The sequence below is a fragment of the Homo sapiens genome, chromosome 14 (genome assembly GCF_000001405.40).
Source record: "Homo sapiens chromosome 14, GRCh38.p14 Primary Assembly".
NCBI classification, from domain to species: domain Eukaryota; kingdom Metazoa; phylum Chordata; class Mammalia; order Primates; family Hominidae; genus Homo; species Homo sapiens.
The window spans coordinates 33,513,842-33,536,295 of record NC_000014.9 but is presented as its reverse complement, the minus strand read 5'-3'; the positions used below and the strand labels follow the sequence as shown (position 1 = coordinate 33,536,295).

The window sequence follows — 22,454 nt, the reverse complement described above, 5'->3', positions numbered from 1 at the left end:
TTGTTGTATCTATCATTGAAGATTTAAAAAATTACAAATAAGAATTTCATATCATAACCTCAACAGAGATGTATCATTCTATCCACTTTACATATTTATGAATCAAACAGCTCTCTCTATGTCTTCAGGTTTGATTATTGCTGTGGAACGGTAGGGAGCTGGAGGTGAACGCTTAGTTCTGTTCACCTCAGGTCTAATTACAAACTCTTATTAGCACTAGTAGGGGTTAGCTCAGCTGTTTAGAGAACTTGCATACGAGGCCAAAGTCAGGAGCCAGAGGCCTCTCTCCAGCGGTTTTACTCTGTTCTATGGCCAAAGAGAGTATTCCTGATGCTAACCAGTGGCCTCTAAACATATATAGCACTCTCAGTCACAGAGGGATAGGGCAGAGAGCGTGGCTGGGTCAGTTTAAATCCATCAATGCTGATAGAAAAATAGGCTCAAACTGTATGTCTGCACAAGCAGATTTTTGTGAATAAAATATTTACTAACAAAACTAATAAGTATAAAAGTTCAAGTAGGTTCCAAAGACCTTTCAATAATGGCAAAATGGCTTAAGAAATTTTAAGAGTAATTCGTCTTCATTAACAACATTCAGAAAATACAAATAAGCAAAAATAGAAATATAAAAAAATCATCCATAATCCAGAGATGCATTCTACTAATGTTCTGATGAACATGTTAATTGATTAATTCATTAGGTATTTATTGGGCCACTACTATGTGTTGGGAACTAACCCAGGTACTAGGCTCTGAAGATGATGAACTAGGCAGATAGTCGGTGTTCTCTTGAAACCTACAGTTTATAGATACACAATTTAAAAAGGCATACTCTACATGATTCTACTCTATAGACTGTTGTAGAAGTTACTCAACCAAAAGGTTTGCCACATTTGCATCTGCTCTGGGCCTCTTCTAACAGCAGTCCTACTCAAGTGTCCATTTTACTGTTTCTTATACTAAACTTCATACTAGTCTAGTCAAATACATTTTGCGCCTATTTAGAAAGTCATATGCCTAAGGGTACTGCCCTAGAATGATAGTGAAAAGGGATATTTCAAAATTACTGTGAGGTCCCCATCCAGATTTCTTTTAGTAAAGGTGTAAGTGATATTTTTTATGACAGTATATATACTTTTATTATAGAATTTGAGTAAATACTACGCTTGGTTTTGCTTGTTCTATGATAAAGGCTCAAACAGCATCTCTCTATAAAGTCAGAGAAACATTTTGCTTTGACTTTTAGTTCTTTTCAAAATCTTTCATTGAATCCTCTGAGAAAAATAGCAAGTTCTATTGCTACTGCTCCTTGCTAATATGTTCCTCTTATGATGAGCATTATGTCCTGTGGCTTTAAAGCAGACACAGCACACGTCCTGGAAAGAGGACTTCTCAAGAGCCGAGGCAGTCCATTCCCACTGTGAGTGATCATAGCAGGGATTCCCCCATTCCACTGTGCCCCAAGAGTCACTGCTTAGAGTGTGTTACAGAGCTGACATTCCAGGAAATTCCAAAGTCTCATCAGAGTGCACGCTGTGTGGTCACGGTGGAAACTTCAGACCCCTTTCTATTTATTTTCAGAGAGAAATAAGATGTACGAGGTTCATAGAAAAAATGCGATTAAATAACCACACATGGAGGTTGTATGAAGAAGAAATTCACAAAAGATTCCAACTATACATATATAGGAGGTAGCAGACACTTTCTCACTACATACTATTGTGGACTTCTCAAATGGAAAATGACAGGTAAGAAGCCATTTCTATGACTTGAAAATACTTGTCCACTGAAAACCATATTGTAGTCACACTCCTGACTTCCTCACGTGTTTCTATAGTATCCAGCTCCTAGCAACTATGTCATTCAAGGGATTTGGCCAACAAATCCTGACTCCCAATGTAAAGAAATACACAGTTTTATCATTTTCAGGATGGGATCCAAGAGAGTATACAAATCAGGCCCATTCTGGAGTTAGTGTTAACCACTTCTCTAGCTGTTGCTTTGTCTGACACTTTCAGCATGCCATGGTTCATACATAGAAATAGTACTGACATAAGGAGTTTTTTTTTTTTTTTTTTACTGCTCTGTGAAATAGTAAGTACCACACATAGCAGAAATTTGCAAGTCTTCTTATTAATTTGGTTACACTGGCCAATAATAGTCAGCAGGCGGCTGTAAATTCTCCCTGTAGATTATATATTAGATTATGACACTGAATAAAATGAAATAAACAAATACTCTTGTCATGATGTCTAGCTAACTGAATAAAATGACAAAAAGATTTGGTAACATTTTTAAGGTAAAGAGTATTATTTTTTAAAGCATAAACACATTAATATATGGGGCAGAATATCAGGGAAATACCTGTTCACTTGTCATATATTTAAATATTTGTCATATACATTTATATATACATGTGTATATGACATGTGATATGTATATATACATGTGTATGTATATATGATGTGTAACATATATGTAAATTCTGTAACCTTAAAAAAATTCTCACAATACATTTCGGATCTCTTTTCACGTCACCACATACAGGTGTGATTTTCTTTTTTGTAAATAGTATGGTATTTCATAATAAATTTAACCATTCCTCTATGGAGCATGGTTTCAAAATTTGAGGCAATTAGAAGCAATGCCACAATGGATTCACTTTAAGATTTATTTAGTGTAGTGTTTTTTAAAAATGAATTACTTGATCCCTTCTAATAATACTGAGAAATTGCTCTTTTTGCCAAATTGTTTTCAATATCAGAACTATGCATTCTCATCAATAGCAAACAGGAATGTCAGTTTCTCAACATTCTCACCAATATTTGATGCCATCAGTCTTTTCGAACTTGGCCAATCTGTGAAGCAAAAGCATCTGTCACTGCTGTTAATTTAAAGTCTTTTCATGTATTGTTTGGTCATTTCTATTTCTTTGGTGACATTTCCATTCGTATCTTTTGACCATGTTCTAATGGCATGTTTGTCTTCTTGTTGAATTTTTGGATCTCTTTATATAGTTTGGTTATTTATCCTTTGCCTTATACGATGTAATATTTTCTGTAAGTCTGCAATTTATCTTTTAATTTTATTTACGGTATCTTTTGTTGTACATAGTTAAAAATTCTAAAGTAATCATCTCTGCCAGTCTTTTATAATACCTGAATTTCTTTTCATAAGAAGCTCTTCTCCACCATGAGAAAATAAAAAGGTTCTCTTCTATTATTTCCACTGTTTACAGTTATGTTTATTATGCTTAGTTCTTTAACTCTTGAGTTAAAGAATTAAGGAATGCTGTTTAGAGCATTTCTGAGGTTCTGTTTGAAAACAACTCTCCCTTTGTGCAATCTCAGTTTTAAAATAACTCAGTATCATTTTTGAAAGCTCACTTTAAAGTGTAAGCATGGTTTTCTAGGACAATGAACCAACAAAATTTGGGAGTCAACTTAGACAGGGAAAGGCTACTGCTTCCTTTCCTGAAGCAGAATGAGACCTTATCTTACTACTGTTTTTAGGAAGCGGTCATTTACTACACAACAGGAAAGGAATTTTCAAAGGGAAGGGAGAGAACAACGCCTACTTTTTACATATTATTCCCAGGGCTGTGGATAATAGCGACTTACAGCTTATATGCAATCACTTCATTCATCTTAGATTTCTGGTTACTAAGCAGCTGCACAGAAAGAGAGAACTTCCAGAGTCAGGGAGGTCTGGGTTCAAATCCTAGGTTGAGCCATTTATGAGCCCTATGAGCTTGGACAAATCATCTGTTTCTCTGGGTTTTTTAATTTAGGAAATACAGCTAACACCTGTCCTCACAGGATGAAGTGAAGTGACTCAGGTAAATCACTCAGCATAGTGTCTGCCCCATCCCAGAGCTGCTGAAGAGAACCCCAAAGAGGTTGTACCTTTTCCCAGAAAGAAAGAATATTTAATCTCTAATTAATAGTAAATGTTGGCTACAGCTGGGGCAAAAGCTCGACAGAGACCAAAGAAAGGAAAAACTGAGACTGGACTTGGAATTTTATTTAAAAAAGAATTGAACTTTAAAAAGGACGGAAAGATCAGAAGCTCAGTAATGGAGTTGATTTACTGTAATGTGATTTTCCTTTTTATTAGTCCTTTTAGCCTGGATTGTTTGGTGTGAGCTGAATTTCACTCATAATTTATATTGGCCACCACTGAGTTTCTGAATGGGCCTGCATTAGCAAAGATAATTGAGACCTGGATACATAGTTGAGATTTCCTAACATTTGCACAGATAAATTAAGACTGAATGCAGCAAACAGCCCAATTAAAGTAAGCATGAGACTGAGGCAGACAAGACTTGATTCAAAAGGACGCACAAATGGCAAGTAAGCACAGTAGAAGATCACTAGCCATTTGCAAAATGCAAATTAAAGTCACGATGAGATACCAGCACACACCTATCAGAATGGCTAAGATTAAAAACAGAAGGCTGACAATCCTAAGTGCTGACAACAGTGCAGAATAACACTTGATGGGAACGCAAAATGGTACAGCCCCTCTGGAAAACACTTAAAGCAGTTTCTTAGAAAGTTAAATATACACACACACACCACGTAATGCAGAAGCCCTACTCCTAGGTATTTACCCTAGGGAAATGTAAGTCTATGTTCACACAAAAATCTGTGCACAAATATTTATAACAACTCTGCTCATCGGTGCCAAAATATTGAATCAACCCAAATGTCCTTCAATGGTTGAACAGAAAAACTGTGGTACAGCTGTACATAGGCATACCACTCAGCAATAAAAAGGAATTACCGATATGAGTCTCAAGTGCATTACGCTGAGTGAAAGAAGCCAGTCTTGAAAGCTTACATACTGTATCATTCCATTTATATGACGTTCTCATAAAGATACAATTATAAGGAAGGAGAACAAATCAGTGGCCATCAGGGGTTGGGGTAAGGGTGATACAAAGTGACGGCACAAAGGAGGTCTTTGGAATTATGGCACTTTTCTGTATGTAGATTGTGATGGGTGGTTACATTAATTTAAACACGTTAAAATTTATAAAATTGCAGACAGGGTCAATTTTACTGTATGTTTTAAAAATCATTTTTAAAGGAAAGTACAGCCTATTTTAAGACCCACACTTCCTTTGACTGGACTGTATGAGTTCTGGTACCTATATAATGGTCCAAGGGGCTGACCTTGGACCTTCCAACCAAAAGATAGTCTTCTCAGACATCTTCAAACACATAAAAGAACAAAACAGAACAAAACAAAACCTCTTCTTCTGTGTGTTTTCACCGGACCAATTTTATCTTCATCTACTGCTTACTGTTTACCCATACAGAGAATATTTCCCATACTTGCAGAGCATCCTGCGAGGAAACCATGTGCAGTTCCTCACCCCACTCTGATCTCTACCTTATTATTTGGAGCTACTGAAAGTCTGATCACCAGTAGCAAGCTGGTTGCCAGAGCCTTCGATTTTTTAGCAACAGCTCAGCTACCACCATGAAATAACCTCTCCTTTTCCCACCCTCCCATCCCCTATTTTTATTTATTTTTGGGAGGAACAAGTTGTCTTTAACCCTTGGACCCAGTTTGAAGGCAATGGAAATAATTAAGACTGACATTTCTAGGGTTAAACGTCAAGTAGGAGAAAGAGCTGAAAAAGGAAATTCCCCTGCTTCTTAGTAATGAAAAGCTGAGGGTATACCTTCTGTGGCTGTCTATGAGATGCTTTCACATCCATGTGTCAAGGGTTTTTCAAACTGACAACTTGCAAATTTGAAATACAAAAATGCCCAAAGCGATATTTTAGTGGCTCAGGGAAACTCTTGTGTGGGAAAAAGAATTCTAAAGTGAAACGTCTCTTGAAATCACACAGGGCCTGACCACGATACTCTAATTATGCTAATTGCTTCAATGCCCTTGCTTTATTTATGCTGAGCAGCTAAGATAAATAAAGGAAAATTGCTTTGGATCTAACTGTATTCATATCAGAATGCAAACTAGCCTGTGTTTGTTATGTGATTGCTGATCTGTTTACACTAAATTCTGCAGGTAATTGCAGTTTTGATTGCACATTTATTTCTAGCTGCACAGGTCCCAGGACTAGGTCTGTCTGTTTTTATAATTAAACCGTTTTGTAATATCTAAACTCACTAAAGAGCAAAATGATGGTTTAAGAATTTACATATTTTATGCATTAAATATAATACTTTGGTGAGCGGTGACAAAAAGGAAAGAAAGTATGTTTATCACTAAAAAAAATTGGACAGCATGTCTGGATTTGAAGACATTCGAGACATCTGTTCCAAGGCCTGTTCACCGAATGGGACAGATGCCTGGCGCATCCCTGGAATCTGTTGTTCAACACATAGTTTTTGAACTTTGAGTTGCAACTTTCATATTAGTAAAATATGTTAATAGAACATGCTGCCGCTTGGTAATTCCTAAGACAATGGAATCATATTTTATTCCCAAGTGAAACGGTGCCTTTCTGTCTGTTGTTCAGAAGCTGAAACTTCATAGAGTTGACATGGTCTTTGTTTTCTGTACTAGACCACTTTTCTGGGGATGTTCACGGTGGTCACTTTTCTGAGCTTAGAACTCAGTTTTGATGACAGCTTCCTTCGGATTCTCTTCACAGCCAACATGCTTAAGAAAAAAAACATACATACATACATAAAAGAAAAAAAATATTTCTTGTCTCTTTAGGATGCCCATTACTTTAACAACACAAAGGAAATGGATTGATAATGTCACCACTACAAATATAGGATGGTGTCACTTTTGCATTGCTTCTTCATCCATCATCAAATTCTGAAACAGTAATTCAGTCTGCCCTACTTAATGGAAAAGTTAATATCAGTCTATACAGACTAGCCTGCAAAGCTTCTTAACCTAGATTCTGCTCAGGAAAAATCCACTGTTACGAGGTTATTTTGTCTAAAATACCCCTGAGGCATGCTCTCAATAAATATAGACTAGTTAAGCACCCTGATGGCATCTTTAGTTTTCTTCCTAGGGAAGATAAGAGAAGTTGGGAAACTGTTAAGACACACAAAGTGCCTTGAGTAAACTAAGCTACCTTGAGAAAAGTGTAATTTTCTTAATACTAGCACAGGACTGTCATGACTCTACAGTGTGGTGGCCAGAGCAAAAAAGGATGAACCATGGCTACTGAGAGACCTCCTAAGTCCTCCATCCCTTCGAAAGAACATTTACCCCAAGCATTAGTCATATTTTACCTTGTTTAGCTGTGTTGTTCTAAGTCAAGATTTGGGGAGACTGGATAGAGGGAGAAATTTGAAGTCAGACAGCTCTGGGTTTGAATTTAGGATGCCTCACATCAACTATATGACCTCGAAAAACTAAAAGAAACATTATTGAGTTGCTCAGGTCCTCAGATTCTTTGGGACCCTTCACAAGGCTGCTGTGAGAATTAAATGATGTGACACGTGACCGCTATTCCTTAAGGCATGTGACACTCAATAATTATCAGTTGCTGTTGTTATATTAGAAGTTAAGAATCTTCCTAAGTTTTCTGTGACATCAATCCCTGCTCTGGTCTGTGGAAGTTGTTCATTACTTTGTTATAGGACTCACTGACGCTGTCACCTACTACCTCCCTTGCTGGTCCACTGGGTAAATGCAACTTTTTCGCAGCCTGGTTAAGCAGGCGCTGGGAAGAGGCTTGGGTTAGATGCATATTTGCTGACAAAAGCATGAAGGATTTCTCAGAAGGCTTACTTAGAAAAAAGAGAGTTTTCCACTTGGCATCCTCCAAATCTGCAGACACATTAGGACGACCACTCCCTCCTCTTTGTTATGTCTTCACTTGATCATAGTCTATTGTTGCATTTATCACCTTCTGCAGAATTATTTATTAATATTTCCATATTTCCCACTAGATTGTGAGCGCCCTTCAGGCAGAGATGCTGTCTTCTTCTTCCTTTTGTCCCCAGAGCATGGCATGAGGCTTCTCACATAGCAGTGGCTCACCAAGTGAATAAGTGAATACTGCATGAATGTGCAGCTTGGTAGCAAAGCTTAGGCTTTGAGGTCAGGCAGACCTGGCTGAAATATCAGTGGGGTGGGCACATTAAACTCGTGGAGTCTCTATTCCTTCTTCACCCCTCCTTCCACACACACAATAAAAGATAATCAGGATAATCTCTTACTTTGCAGGAATAGTGTGAAGAATAAACGCTTCACCTATAGGATGAATTTTTTCTCTTGAAGGGGAAAATAATTCTATGGAAGAGAATTTAGAGAACACAGAAATTAATATATGGTTTACTGATAAAAAGGTGTGGCAGGTTTTAGGTCCAGGACATTAGCTTCCTGTATACTTAGGACAAGATGAAGATTCCTGGATTCCTTGTGTTGAAATGGAAGGAATGTGTTCCTTCTGTTGAAACAGCCATTGCTCCAAATTTTTGCCACCCTCTGGCAGGGAGATCAGGATGCAATATCTGAAAGTCCCTTAAAACCCAGCGTTGTTCAAAAGGAAGCCCCCAGCACTTGCCCACTAGGAAACAGGATTCTCACATTTCAAACACAAGTTCTCCTTTGTCCTCTTTACCTAATTCTTGGAAACCAGTTAATCAACCAGTGGGAAAGCAGATTTCTGCGGGATCCATTCTTTCTATTAATACTTCATATATAAATCCTGATTTTCACATGAGATGTGACCATGCATTTATTATCTCCACACACTTACTCAAATCTTTCCAGTATCAGTAACTCATAACGGGTGTGCATTTGTGTACGTGCACATAAAATCATACACAGAAAGAAACGGCACTTTCTCCAAAGGAAGTCATATGAGAACTCTGAGTGAAATGACTACATCTCTGAGAAACAGAGATAACATCTTATTTTGTTACAGGCATATCTATTAGACAGAATTGAGGCACCAACATGCAAATTGTACAGTTGTTCTGGGCAACAATTTCTTCCTATGACAATAACCCTGGATGTGGGCTCTTGCTGTAAACGACATCACAAGGTAAGTGGTTACAGGGTACAGGATAGGGCTAGGAAGATTCATTTCCATGCCCTGCTCACTTCGGAGCACCCCTGACAAGGGCTCATGCCCTCAGTATTTGTCCCAGCTACTAGGGAAGACGGAGAGTGGATAAGGAAGGGGAAAATCATAAATGGGGAAGAAGGAATGCTGTCTAGCACTGGTAGCCATTGGAGGTGGCCAATCAACCTCCTCCTTCTCCACATATAGCCAGACAGGCATTTGCTACACTGAATACTGGTATTCAAGGAATGGGGGTTCTGCCAGCTTCCTAAGGACAAGGATGCCATCTATTCCTCCTTACAGAGTCTTTACATAGTAGGTGCTGAACACTCATTGAATGAAGAGAAGTTTTGAAAGGACCTTGTTCTCATAACAGAAATGAATGAATATTAGGTTATGTCAATGAAGTAACTTCATTAACACAGTGAGGTCTGAAGGGCTGGGCAACCCTCCTACTGCCTGGCCTTAATGATGTGCCGCTTTGGCTGCTGTCTTCATCCTGAACAATTTGCCTGGCTCTGCCGAGGCTAAATTCTGACCTGACTCCCTTAGGTGAGAGGTACTAAATTACTGAGCTTCTGAAATGAAGCTATTTCCTATATTGCATTTGCAGGATACCTTAATATATATTCAGTAACTACTAGTTTGATTTTTTCCCCTGATCTCGTTGCCACTTCTCCATATATTGAACCCCAGGAGGACCCTATTCACTGATCCCCCATGACTAACAAGCTGTTTAATTCACCAGTGGCTTCCTTCATTATTTTACAGAATCAGCCTGTAAGAGCCCAGTATACATACTGAAACCTCTTTTACATGGGATATTCTTTACTGGAGTGATAGTCATGCCCTGTTTCAACAACATTCAAAAATTTGTCCAATAGGTTTTTCCTTTATTAAAAACAAACAAATGGCTGGAGAGCCTATAAAAGGTAAAGGGGATTTTATAGGAAAATGGAGAAACATTTCCCAGGTTTTAAAAAACTATATGTGACTTCAGTATACTGTGAGTTTATTATTTACTGGTAATTCCTTCCCAAGACCATCAAGCACTTTCAAGTCCAGCTGAAGTAGAGTGAAAGAAAATCATTTCTGAGAGTTATGAAAGGTCATGAGTGAGGAAATGCATTCCAGGTACTCCCGGTAAGTTCTAAGGCTGGAATACCGGTAGGAAAACAACATGGAAAATTACGTCAAATTGTTTGCCATTCACTGATGATTATTTCACTCCTTTTAAATCTTTTCTAGGTTGCTGAAATCTCTGTTTTCATTTCACCTGTGTTTTCCTTTTATTTTTTCCCCTAACTTACCTTTCTTTCTGTTTTATCTGTCTCTTCTCATTTATTTTTGTCATGGTTTATTTCCCCATTTCCTCTTTCGTAATCTCACATTTCTCCTTCTATTAGTTATCTTTGTCAGATAGCCAAAGAAGAAAACAGACGTTTCCCGGTTCCTGATCAGACCCTACCTCCCATGTCACATTCCAAACTTAGGCATGTTTATGTGTTAGTGGCCAATAATTTGGTTCAACATTTCAGAAACAACTTCTCCCCATTAATAGGTTTTATGTGTCCTACAACTTGAAGACTTCTCAAAGCTTCTCCCTTCTGGATAAAGATGCCCATCCCTAGGTCTCAGTGGGTCACAAATATGATAGAGTAAATTCTTTCAGTGACTCAAAGACACAGCATATAGGAAAAAATTCACAGAAATAAATGAATCATCCTGAAATTGTACCTTTTCTCTAGAGCCTAGCACTGTGCTCTGACACTATAGGTGGTAAGAACTAACTTGAAATAATACTAAACTTCTACCTTCTGATTGCAAGGGCATTATTACTGAGAATTTCCAATGCTTGCTAAAAAATACTCTTTATCTAAAGTTCTGAAGACAGAAGAATGAAGTCAGGTCCATCCCAATCTAATCTAGCAGTAATTATATGGCAAAGTGATTTCAAATATCATGCTTACTTGCCTAACTTCTGATTTTGTTTCCATGCTAAGATGCAAAATTATAAAACATCCAAGTTCTGAGTCCCTGATCACATAATCTTTGAGATTCTCATGATCTTCTAGAAAAGATGACTGAATGGCTCTTTAAGTTTAATGTTAGGATAAAACTAGGATACTTATCCCCTTTTTTAGAACATTTTTCTACATTATGAATAGTACATTTAACACAAAACCAATTACTATGCCTTGAGATTAGTCAGTCATTTGCTAAAAATGTACTATTATGGGTTGAATTGTGTTCTCTCCCAAATTCATATGTTAAAGTACTAACCCCCATTAACTCAGATATGACCTTATTTGGAAATAGAAGTGGTGCAGATGATGAAGTTAAGATGGGGTTATTAGTTTGGGCCATAATCCTATGTGACTGTTTCTATATAAAAAGAAGACATTTGGACACACACGGTGAATGACACATGAAGATGGAGGCAGAGATCGGAATGATGTATCTACAAGCGATGGTCCACCAAAGATGATCAGCAAACCACCGGAAGCTGGGACAGAGGTCTGGAACAGAGCCTCCCTCACATCCCTCAGAAGGAACCAACCCTGCCAGCACCTTAATCTCACACTTCTAGCCTACAGAATTCTGAGACAACACATTTCTGTTGTGTAAGCCAACCAGTTTGTGATACTTTGTCATGGCAGCCCTGGCAGACTAATACAGATTTCATCTTTCTATTAGAGGAAGGTTATCATCTAGCAAAGATACAACCATAAGCTTTAAGATCATGTAGACTGGGTTTGAATCTGGGTTTGGCAGATTATTGATTAACTGGAGCAAGTCATTCTGTGAATGCCAATTTCCTCTTTTGTAAAAATTAAGATAATGGTATCTACTTTATTAGGTTGTTGTGAATATCACCATTTGACCAATTTTTGAGTGTCTGCTATAGAGAGGGACTTTTTGAAGGTGCTGGGATAGGGTGGTGAATAAAACAGCTCTAGTTCCTGTTCTTAAAAATCCGATAGTATAGCAGGAAGAAAAAGAATAACAAATTTACAGACAAATACATATGCAGTTAAGACTTAAGTATTATGAAGGAAAGGAACAGGATGCAGTTGTAGAGGGTAAGGAGGACTTTTAGAGAGGGCAGTACTTTCAGCAGTGTTGTCAAGACAGTCTTTCTGAGGAGGTGACATTTAAGCTGAGACCTAATGGATAAGAAGGAGCAAAATATGAAAAGATAACCTAAAAAAATTTCCCCAAAGTCCATCTGAATCAGAGTAGGTATTTGATTAAAGATAGTTATAGTTATTTTTGGCTATTATATGCCTAGCACTAGGATCTGCTTTATGGGGACACAATAGCATCCGTTACCTGACACTCAAGGGCCTCCATAACCTTTCTCTTGTCTCAAGGCGTAGGTGTGTTGTGGCCCCACACATATAAGGGAGGTCCATCATGGATCGATGGCAGGCACTGATCTGGTTCTTTGTAGCAGGGATTTATTTTGCTGGACTCTCCTTAGCCAGGGTCTTTTTTTTCTTGAGACAAAGTCTTGCTCTGTCGCCCAGGCTGGAGTGCAGTGGCACAATCTCAGCTCACTGCAACCTCTGCAACTTGGGTTCAAGCCATTCTCTTGCCTCAGCCTCCAGAATAGGTGGGATTACAGGTGCCTGCCACCACGCCCGGCTATTTTTTTTAATTTTTATCTTTTTGTATTTTTAGTGGAGACGAGGTTTCACCATGTTGGCCAGGCTAATTTCGAACTCCTGACCTCAGGTGATCCATCTGCCTCAGCCTCCCAAAGTGCTGGGATTACAGGCATGAGCCACCATGCCTGGCCCAGGATCTTTTTTTTTTTTTTTTTTTTTTGAGACAGAGTCTCGCTCTGTTGCCCAGGCTGGAGCGCAGTGGCATGATCTCAGCTCACTGCAACCTTGCCTGGGCCAGTGTCTTTTTATAGTATCCAAGGTTTCTCCTTTCTCTACAGTAATAATGATGTCAGATAACTATTCCTAAGATGTTTGGTCCCTGTGCCTTGAGTCATGCTGTTTTCTCTTTCTATCAAACCAGTCCAGCTCATTCCTGAAGCATTTCTGAAGCTGAATAGGAACGTGCTTCCTCCTCTGAATCACTGAAGTACAGTACCTATCCCAATGTACTTTAGTTTGCCTTAACTTACTTTTTGTTGTATTTGTTTAATTTCTTCTACTGGATTATAATTCCCCTGAGTAGACAGTATTTGTCTAACTATCTTAGAGTGCTGAGAAGAGTGTGTGGCTCAGACTATGGGTGTAATTCAGTTGACACATGGTGCATGCCTATAAGGATATTCTGAGAGTGACAAAGTTAAGACAGACATCAGACGTAATTAGTAAACACACATATTACACAGTTCCATATTATATATGAATGTAAAACATTCAGATAAGGAATATGAGGCAAGTATGTACCAATTAACCTCTCTTTATTTTCTCCACACCGCAAGCACCATTCACTCATCGTTTACCTCAGCAAGCACAAAACATATGTGTAAGATAACTATTTTCCTTGGCTTTCTTAGTGTACATGGTGGTAATACATATAACCAAAGGAGTAGGGTGGGATATATACCATAAAAATGGCTAATATTATTTTTCTCATTATTTTTGCTATAAAAGACAATTAACACAGTCTTAAATGTGGTTTTCCGGTCCCCAATGTCTTTGTCCGAAAAATGGGGGTATTGTTTCCCACCTTGATCTTATTTCCAACATCAGAAAATGAATTTGTTATGCCTTCCTCAGTACATGGTGATGGTTAAGAGTAGAGGCGTTTTTATTATCTTGCTATAATATAGAGAAGGTTGACTCAAAATATTCCTGCTATGCTGCTACAGTTATTTGGAGAGGAACATTTCTCACCCACAGGGATACAACTACATCACTGCATCAAATTGAAGGTGAACTCTGCAATGTGGCGGTGGCACTTCAAATAATATAGGCCATAAGGAGAAGAAGTTTTTAAAAAAACACAAAAATAAGGATTCCAATCTAGTATTTATAATTACATTTACTGGTCATATGAAATATGATATTTCATCCCCTGAAATGATATCACGTGTCACGTGAATTTCTGAAGAAACTGTCCTCTAAACAATTTTGTCTGCCTATACGTTTATGGATTTTTACCGCAAAGCTATGTCAAATATGAGCACTTAATTCAGAGCAAACACTATGTGCGTGTGTGTTTTTAAAGGCTTCTAAACCATATTAAATTTTCATTCATATAGGTACACAGAGACACATATTAAATAAACCTTCTACAAGAGTAACCCGTCCAGAAATGCAGCAAGAGGCTTCCAAAGGGCTAGATTTATTACAAATTAATCAAATAGGTAAGATGGATCATAATGGATATTCCAGCCAATGTAAACTGAGAGGAAAAGAAAAGCTCCGGCGGCAAGTCAAGAGCCAAATGTTTCTGTTTTGATTTATTTAGCATTTCCGAGATGTTTCTTCTGTGGGGAACAATATGCAAGGCATTGGAAATTCAGAAGGCACATCTTTTGTGTACCATAAAAATGTGCTGCTAACCTACAATACCCTTATAGAAATACAATTCAATAAGAAACTCAGTTGGGAAGATGTCTCAATAGAACAACATGAAAAAAATGGTCAATACAAGAATGATTCACTTTACTTTTACAAGGGATTTCGATGCTACGAATAGAAATGCCTTTGGAACTTATAAAATAAAATCCAGATAAACAGAGAGTCACATTTTTAATTCTTACACATCTCTAATGTGCCTTTTTTTTTTTTTTTTTTTAAAGCAGATCATCTCTCCAAATCATCACTTCTATCAAGCCTATCGCTTGAGCAGTGTTATAGCACTCAGCCCTCAGGGCAAAGATAAGTCTTCACCATTGTCACACGTAGCACACACATATTCAGCCATATCATGCTGAATGGGAATACAGGACTTTGTAGAAACAGAACTGATTCCTGCAGAATATCCTGAGATACTTATCAAGCTGTTAAAGGAGACATCAGTCTTTTGTCTGTATTGCCCTTGACACCTCCTCAAGGAAAGTATCTAGAAATTCTTTGTCTTCTGAAGAACCCTCAGACCTCTTAGGTCTAATGTAGGTTAAGTGCCCTGCAGATCTCCCTAGAATAGAAAAGCACCTTGAAAACTGTAGTCTGACTTAATAGACACAAATATAATGAAAGCACTAATTCATAAGATCCTGTTATTTGAAGGAAAAAGCAGCAAAAGGCACAAGCTTCAGATATTGGTCTTGCACAGGAAAAAGCTGGAATTCTACCCTAAAATTTATCAGATACAACAATGACCTCTAAAAATCCAACAAGGGTAAAATGTATAAAGGTAAATTACCACATTATCATCCGATTATCATTGCTTGTTTTGTCAAGGGTAAATGACTATCTAGCAGCATTCAGCGTTTGCTTATTGATTAATGCGTACAGTACCAGCACCTCTCTGCACAGCGGTCCTCGCCTTGCCTCCCACTCAACAGCTGTGTTGAAACTGACCATTTTATTACAGGTTGCAGGCTGTGTATAATTCTCCTTGCCCATTTTAGAGGCATTAAATGAAAACGGATAAATTATTAGAGATTACTGGGCACTGCAAAAGAAATAATTGTGTTGTTTTTATTCCTGAAAATACAGAAAAATCACTGTGTTTAACTGTTGTCATAATTGAAATTTGATTCCATTCACAAACTCAAAACGGCACTTTTATTGCTTCTCCATCTCTCCTGCCCATTTCATTCTCAACATCATCTGACAGAACTTTATACAAATCTCCTAAGGACAAACATTTCCAGTTTCACTTTTTTTCTTCCCCCAGATAAATCACAGTAAATGTGGTGTTCTTATTTCATCTCAGATTTAAAAAAAAGAAAACAAACCTCCCTCAGCAGATGAAACAAAACAACCAAACTCAGACAGCAAAGAGGCACACACAACATCTGAGATTAATAGACCCTATTTCGTCTCAAAGCGCTTTCTTGATATAAACAATACATAAGGGTCACCCCACACACCACTGAAACGTAGCCTCCTCTGAGGCACAGAAACTATATAACCCGGAGAAACACTCACTCCTTCTTGAGGGCAAGGGGAAGCGACTTTTTGTACTGTGGTAGCTCAGAGCTTCACCCCGACCCAATATCCTTCAAAACTTCTGCTAGCTGAAGATGGAATAAAGCAACTGCTCTAGAACCCCTCTGGGTTCAGCAGATCAATCCAACAACTAATTAAACCAGAAGCAGGGGAAAGATGCCAGGAGGATAGATGATGGGTGGGGGTGAGGCTTCAGATCTGGCTGGGCCTCACCTCTCACTCCATATTCTCCCCGACAGTCTGGACACACCAAGGTAGGGTGAGATTCTGAGATGGGATCTGCTGGGCCCCTAACGTACCTCCCAAGGAGGTATCTGTGCAGCTCAGGGAAGGCACCTTGGGTCTCTCAGTGGAGAAAAATTAGTATTATCTGGGTTCAAACACAAATGTGGGTGTTTGTTATTTTAAAATGTACGGTCTGCTTAAAGGAATGACTAGGAATGTGAACGTGTGTTGTATTTGTGAGGAAGATGTGATAAGAAGCCATCCTAATCAACTTGCCAGGTACGTATATTTCAAGTACCTTACATCTCACTTAATCTGCCAATAACTTTACAAGCCATGTATCTGTACTGTTATTTCCACTTTACATATGCGCAGACCGAGGTTTGGAGAATTAATCTGTCCCACGTTACACAAATAATACGCAGCAAACCCTGATTTGGCACCCAGATGGCTCTGACTTCAAATCCCATGCTAGCTTCTTCTCCTGTTCTACCCATGAATGACATCAGGGGAAGCTGGCGAGACTTGGAATTACTTCCTAGATCTCTGGAAGGCAGGCAACTAATGTTTGAGTGTAATGAGAGCATAAGCAGAGTCCCAGGAAAAGTAAGAGGGAAGCAGAGGGGAAGCTGGGCACGAGAAGAGTAGGAAACAATCAGACAAAGCTCAGGGAGGGCTTGGGAGTTCTGAGATGGCAGACTAGGATACTGAGAAGTTTGATGAGAAGGATCAAAAGGGAAACTCGCACAAAAGGAGGGTAAAATCAAAGGATGCCAGCGAAACAGTTGAAACTGGTAAATCTGAGCTAAGAGAGCTGAGTAACTAGAAACTGTAACTGTGAGCTGCTTAAACTCTGTTCTCTACATTCTTTTGTCTGTGGTCAATGTCACTTGTATAGAGGGTTGTGTGTAACAAATAGGTACAAGAGTGGTATAGGTAGGGAGTCAGAAAGTCTACCAGGTTGGGACCAAGAGGATATAAGGGATTTATTCACTTAGTCATTAATTTACTCATTCATTCCTTTATTTATTAAAAATGTTTATCAAGAGTCTACTATTGGCTAGACCCTGAAAATAACAAATAAGACCACAATATAGCTCCTACCCTCCTGTTGATTCCACTGTGGTAGAGTGCATGGACAACTGTTCAATCCTTAACTGATTGTTCTAAGAAGGAGAAGTATTTGGGGAACACTAAAGAGAGGCCCCCAACTCTGTTAGGGTGAGGCTGGTCAGAGACTTGACTTGAGCCCTGACTAATATGTAGGAGTTAACTAGTGAGATGAAAGGGTGGAGGAAGGAGGATGTATTCCAGGTCAAGGAAATTTCATTTTTTGCAAAGGCATGGTAACATGCCAAAAAAAAAAAAAAAAAATCCTTGATGTCTGTTTATGTTGGTGTGAGTAGAAAGAGAGAACAGATATATTGCAGAGTGATGAGGCATTGCAATAAAGCAGACAGCTCTCTTTGCCTTTTTCTCTTGGAGTTGGAACTCTTGGTTGATCTCAAAGGAATGGAACAATGAGGGTAAGTCAGGCTCAAGGGTTATCTTGATGCACACTTACACAAGCAGCTCCATTTCTATTATCAGATTCAATTATTCACCCTGAAATTGAAAATCCTCCTTACCTTGCCATCCAACTAGAGGAACTGACTCCTATCTCTCCCACCCCCACCATGAGTTACCTCTCCTCTAGCTGTTTACCTCCAGGGCCTCTGCATCAATTTATGAGCAACCCATCTCAAAATCTCCCATCTCAACAAGGCTCCCCCGCTGCCTGAGCTACCTGCATCCTCTTAGCATGCTTGTACTGAATATACAGTGAACTTAATTGGTATTTGATATGTCATAGCATGAAAGCATTCTTCAGCCATTTCATTTATTACTCTTCAAGTTAGTCATATCATCTTTTGCTGTCAGTCAAGAATTGTTTCATCTGGTTTTACCTTGTAGTCTCTGGTACGTGGTGGATGTTCGGAAGCTGCTTGGGTCTGGCAGGAGGGCACCTATATTGGTTCAGGGAGGGTGCTGGGGAGAGCCGAGGATTTGGAATCAGATTTGTTCAATATGTTACTCATTTACTGAGCACCTATTGCATGCCAGGTGCTGTGCTATATGCTAGAAATGAAAAGGTCAATGGAAAATAAACAGCTTCTCTGAGTAACAGGTGCTCACAGTAAGGCCTGGGGGCGGGAACTAGATGGGCAAATATGTAAGTATGTAACGGTGATTTAATATGGTAAATGTGCTAAGAGACCTGAGCCCTAGGTGCTGCGGGGCATGACGAAAGCACAAAGAAGGAGTGAGGAGCTAAAAGGACAGGACCAAGAGGCTGTCAGAACTTTTCCTAAATAAAATGATGCCTGAGTTGAACCTTTAGAGAGAAGCTTTACAGGTGTGGGAGAAGAAACAGCCTAAGCAAAGGACCTGAAGCATAAAACAGCAATACACCCATGAGAAACTCCTTCCCCCTACAGCTCCATTGCTATATTGTCAGGCAATTCCCTCAAACTCCTAGATTCTATAACTCCAGGATGTTGCAAAGATCTAATGACATAACTCAAATGAAAGCCATGTTGTAAACTGTAGAGCACCATGTAAATGTAATGTATGTCATGACATTTCGACAGTTTTTTGGTGAATAGGGTGTAGACTTCAGGAAATGTCTGAGCAATTGAACTGAGCCTGTTTGCCAGAGGTTGATGACCCGTGCTTTAGGACAAGCAGAGAAGAACCCACCGGAAATCCAACTAAGATAAGCGAACTACAATCACCTGATTTAGAAGTTGGCCAGTATCATGAACATTAGTGTGTTTGTTTACTCTGTCAAAACCACTGGGGGTTTTCAGTGAATATAGGATGCCAATAGTGAATACCTAATCCAAGAAGCCACAGCATTTCCTCCATCAACCATGTCAGAACTGTTTAATATTTATTTGCTACTTCCTTTATATACAGCCTGTTCATCTGCCTCAGTAGATCGTAAACTAATCCCATGCTGGGAGACCAAGATCTAGATACAGAATGCAGAGGGATGAGTTTAGAGAAGGGAGAAATTTCTTCCCCCAGCCATTGGCCACTTTACCTATGCAGTCCCCATGATAAAACTCCAAAGGCCAGGCAGGGCAGGGCAATTGGTAAGACTCCATAGGAATGCTTTATGAGAATTCTTATCTTCATCATCATCATCATCACCATCATTATCACGACCACCATCGCAATTTTTACATAATATTATTGAGAGCTCACCAGGTCCTAAGATCCACTTAAAGGGCTTTGCATAGATACAGATTTAATATGCACAGTAACTCCAATGAGGTGCTTATTATCATCAGCCCCACTTTCAGGATAAGGAACTGAGGGTCAGAGAGGTTATAGAACTTGCCCTAGGGCATGCAGCTATTAGATGGTCAAGCTGGGATCTGAAGCTAGATAGTCTGACTCTGGTTCTCCACTCTCTACACTTAGTTATATTTTCCTCGTACTAGGGGAAAGAATCACGTAGCTACGATCTATTCCACAGTATGTAATTTCATCAGGAAGATGAGGAGGGAACAGAAAAACTTGTATTTACAAGTGGTAGAAGAATGAAAACAGACTAAGCAAGTAAAGAATGCTCCCTTTTTAAATCTAAAAGCCTCCCTTGAAACCCCTCCTTGAAAGGAAAGAGGAAGTATTTACCTGAAAGATTTTCTAATTCTCTATCTCACTTTATGATCTTAAGTTTAGTACCAGAGGAAAGTAAAACACAGAGGCTCTGGAGATAAAAGACTTGTGTCAAATTCTAGCTTTCCCACTGACTGCTATGATTAGCTGTGTAACCTTAGGCAAAGGTGCTTAATTTAGTTTACTCATCTGTAAAATGGGCTTTATAAATACCTATTTAGTATACTTAGCAGAGATGCTATGAGGGTTAAGAGTGTGTGCATGTATGTGCATGTGTGCGGACGTGTTCTATCTTACCTCATAGAAAGTGTTAAATAGGGCTTAGCTACCATTGTTATTCAATTTTCTTTGTGTTTAGCATGCAGTAATGCATCCATGTCGGTTACTAAACAATAATGTTCTTAACATGCTATACCAGTCTTTGGGGACATGTGAATAAAGTACAAAGTTGTTTAAAAGCAGAAAGAGGAAAAGAGATCGTAAAGGTGTTAAGAGGGACAAGATCCATGAAGAGCAATAAATTCTGGAAAAGTTTCTAGAAGGGGCTTACAAGCAGTGGTGTCCAGTGCTGTTGAGTGGTTAAGAACAACAGAGTAATGCAAAAAGTATGACTGTATTCCGTGAGTTGGAAGAATTGTCTAATGCAGGGATCAGCAACCTTTTCCTGTAAAGGACCAGATAGTGAATATTTTAGGATTCGTGGGCGATATGCTCTGTCCAGCTTCACAACTCTGCTGTTGTAGAGTGAAAGCGGCACAGACAATACTTACACAAATGGGTATGGCTGAGTTTCAATGAAACTTTATTTGCAAAACAGGCAGCAGGCCAGATTTGGCTGGTGGGAGTTACAGGTCATAAACCCTTGGTCTAAGAGAAGTCTCATTAATAACTGCCATTAATAAGTGTTTTAGTAGCAAGTATGGGAATGATTTTCTATATATACATGCATATATATTTATGAATGTAAATATGCCCATTCAAAATAACCCTCATGATAATGCCACTCTTACTCATTCTTATTCCATGTATTTTCTTGAGTGGAATGAGAAGGGAGATGAAGTTGTAACTGGAATGCTGGGAATTGTAGGTATCCCTGAATATAACCTAGGGGTATGAAGTGAGTGTGGAAGTAGCCATGCTATGTGTTTGTGTGTGCACACACATGCATGTTACAGCTGAAAAAATATGAGAATAATTGGCTCGACAGAGCCAGAACTAAACTAAAAATGAAGACACCTGGATTCTGGTCACAGATTCGCTGTGTAACATTGGGCAAGTCATAATCTCTGTGCCTCAGTTTCTTCCATATAAAATGGGGTTAGACTAAATACGAAGTCCCTTTTAGTCCCAAACATCTATGATTCTAAAATACTGTGCAAAAGGACATTAACTGTTGGGCACTTAATTTATTCTACAGTATTTTCTACAGATGATTTAGGAGACTGAATTGAGTCAACTAGAACTGTCATGATTTTAATTGGATTAAAAATGACTTTAATGGGTAATTTATCCAGTAGTTTATAATAATCATATAATGAAATAATCACAGGTATGTCAGTTCAATCTTAAAGGTTTTTATGACAGAGTAGCAAGTGTTTAGGATAAGGTACAGTACGATCTTTTAGTTATTTGACAGAGTTTTATTTCATGATATAATTTCTTTCTTTCATGTTCTAATTTCAAATTCAATTTGTTAAATTTTGTGGAACCTTCTTGACGAGATTAGATAAGATTAAATTATTTTTAACTTCTCAGGAGATTTTGCTTCCTCATCAACTTACTTATGCCTTTTTAGGAGAAGAATATTCACCAAGGGAAGCAACGCAACCAATTTGGGCATCACAATCGTCTTGGTAAAGGTTATATATCCAAATCAGTCTAAGTGCAAAGCAGGAATAACTGGATGGCCCTTATCTGTGACTCAGATAACCTCACTTGGTGAGAGGCTGGAAACTTAGAGTGTACACTGTTTATCTACTTGAGAGGGATAGGAGGTTGGATTTAGAGACAAAGAGGTGTGGGACAAGCTGCCCTGTCTATGTGCAACTCCGTTGACAAGGCACTATTCCTTATACCATGGGTTGCCTCTGCACACCTTCAGACTGACCCGGAGCCCCTTGTTAATTCAATTCTGAGCATCTCCTGAGTTGAAGCAGACAATAATGCAGACATGGACAAAATTGTACTGCAATTGTGTGAGTGAACTCATGTCCAAGGGGGATTATGCTGAGACCACCAAACTCATTTCACTTGTGACCTAATCATCTCTCAAACTGGCCCCCGGTGGATATGAATATATTAGGAGGAAGAATTATTAAACAATTACTCTTGCGCCTGGGGTACATGCTTTTTAGCAAGCCTGGGCATGCAAGTCTTCTCCTCCAACTTCTTCTAACCACCTCACCCCTCTCAAACCTTTCTCCCCCATGGGGAAAAAATACATTCATCGCGGCTAGTAA

At 38.8% G+C, this 22,454-nt stretch overlaps 1 protein-coding gene and 1 long non-coding RNA gene across 21 annotated transcripts in view; one reads left to right on the top strand and one right to left on the bottom strand.

The window, feature by feature from the left end:
- The window catches only part of NPAS3 (neuronal PAS domain protein 3), an 869,389-nt gene that overhangs the window by 267,878 nt on the left and 579,057 nt on the right, over nt 1-22,454 (bottom strand). The window lies entirely within an intron of this gene.
- On the top strand, nt 1,664-20,528 carry LOC124903299 (uncharacterized). 2 transcript variants are annotated; one of them, XR_007064111.1, is made up of 5 exons: nt 1,664-1,748; nt 8,873-8,992; nt 10,055-10,156; nt 14,244-14,348; nt 14,787-20,528. It is a non-coding gene; the product is annotated as an uncharacterized LOC124903299 (long non-coding RNA). The 2 variants fall into 2 exon arrangements; XR_007064110.1 differs by lacking the exons at nt 14,244-14,348; nt 14,787-20,528 and adding an exon at nt 11,411-11,499.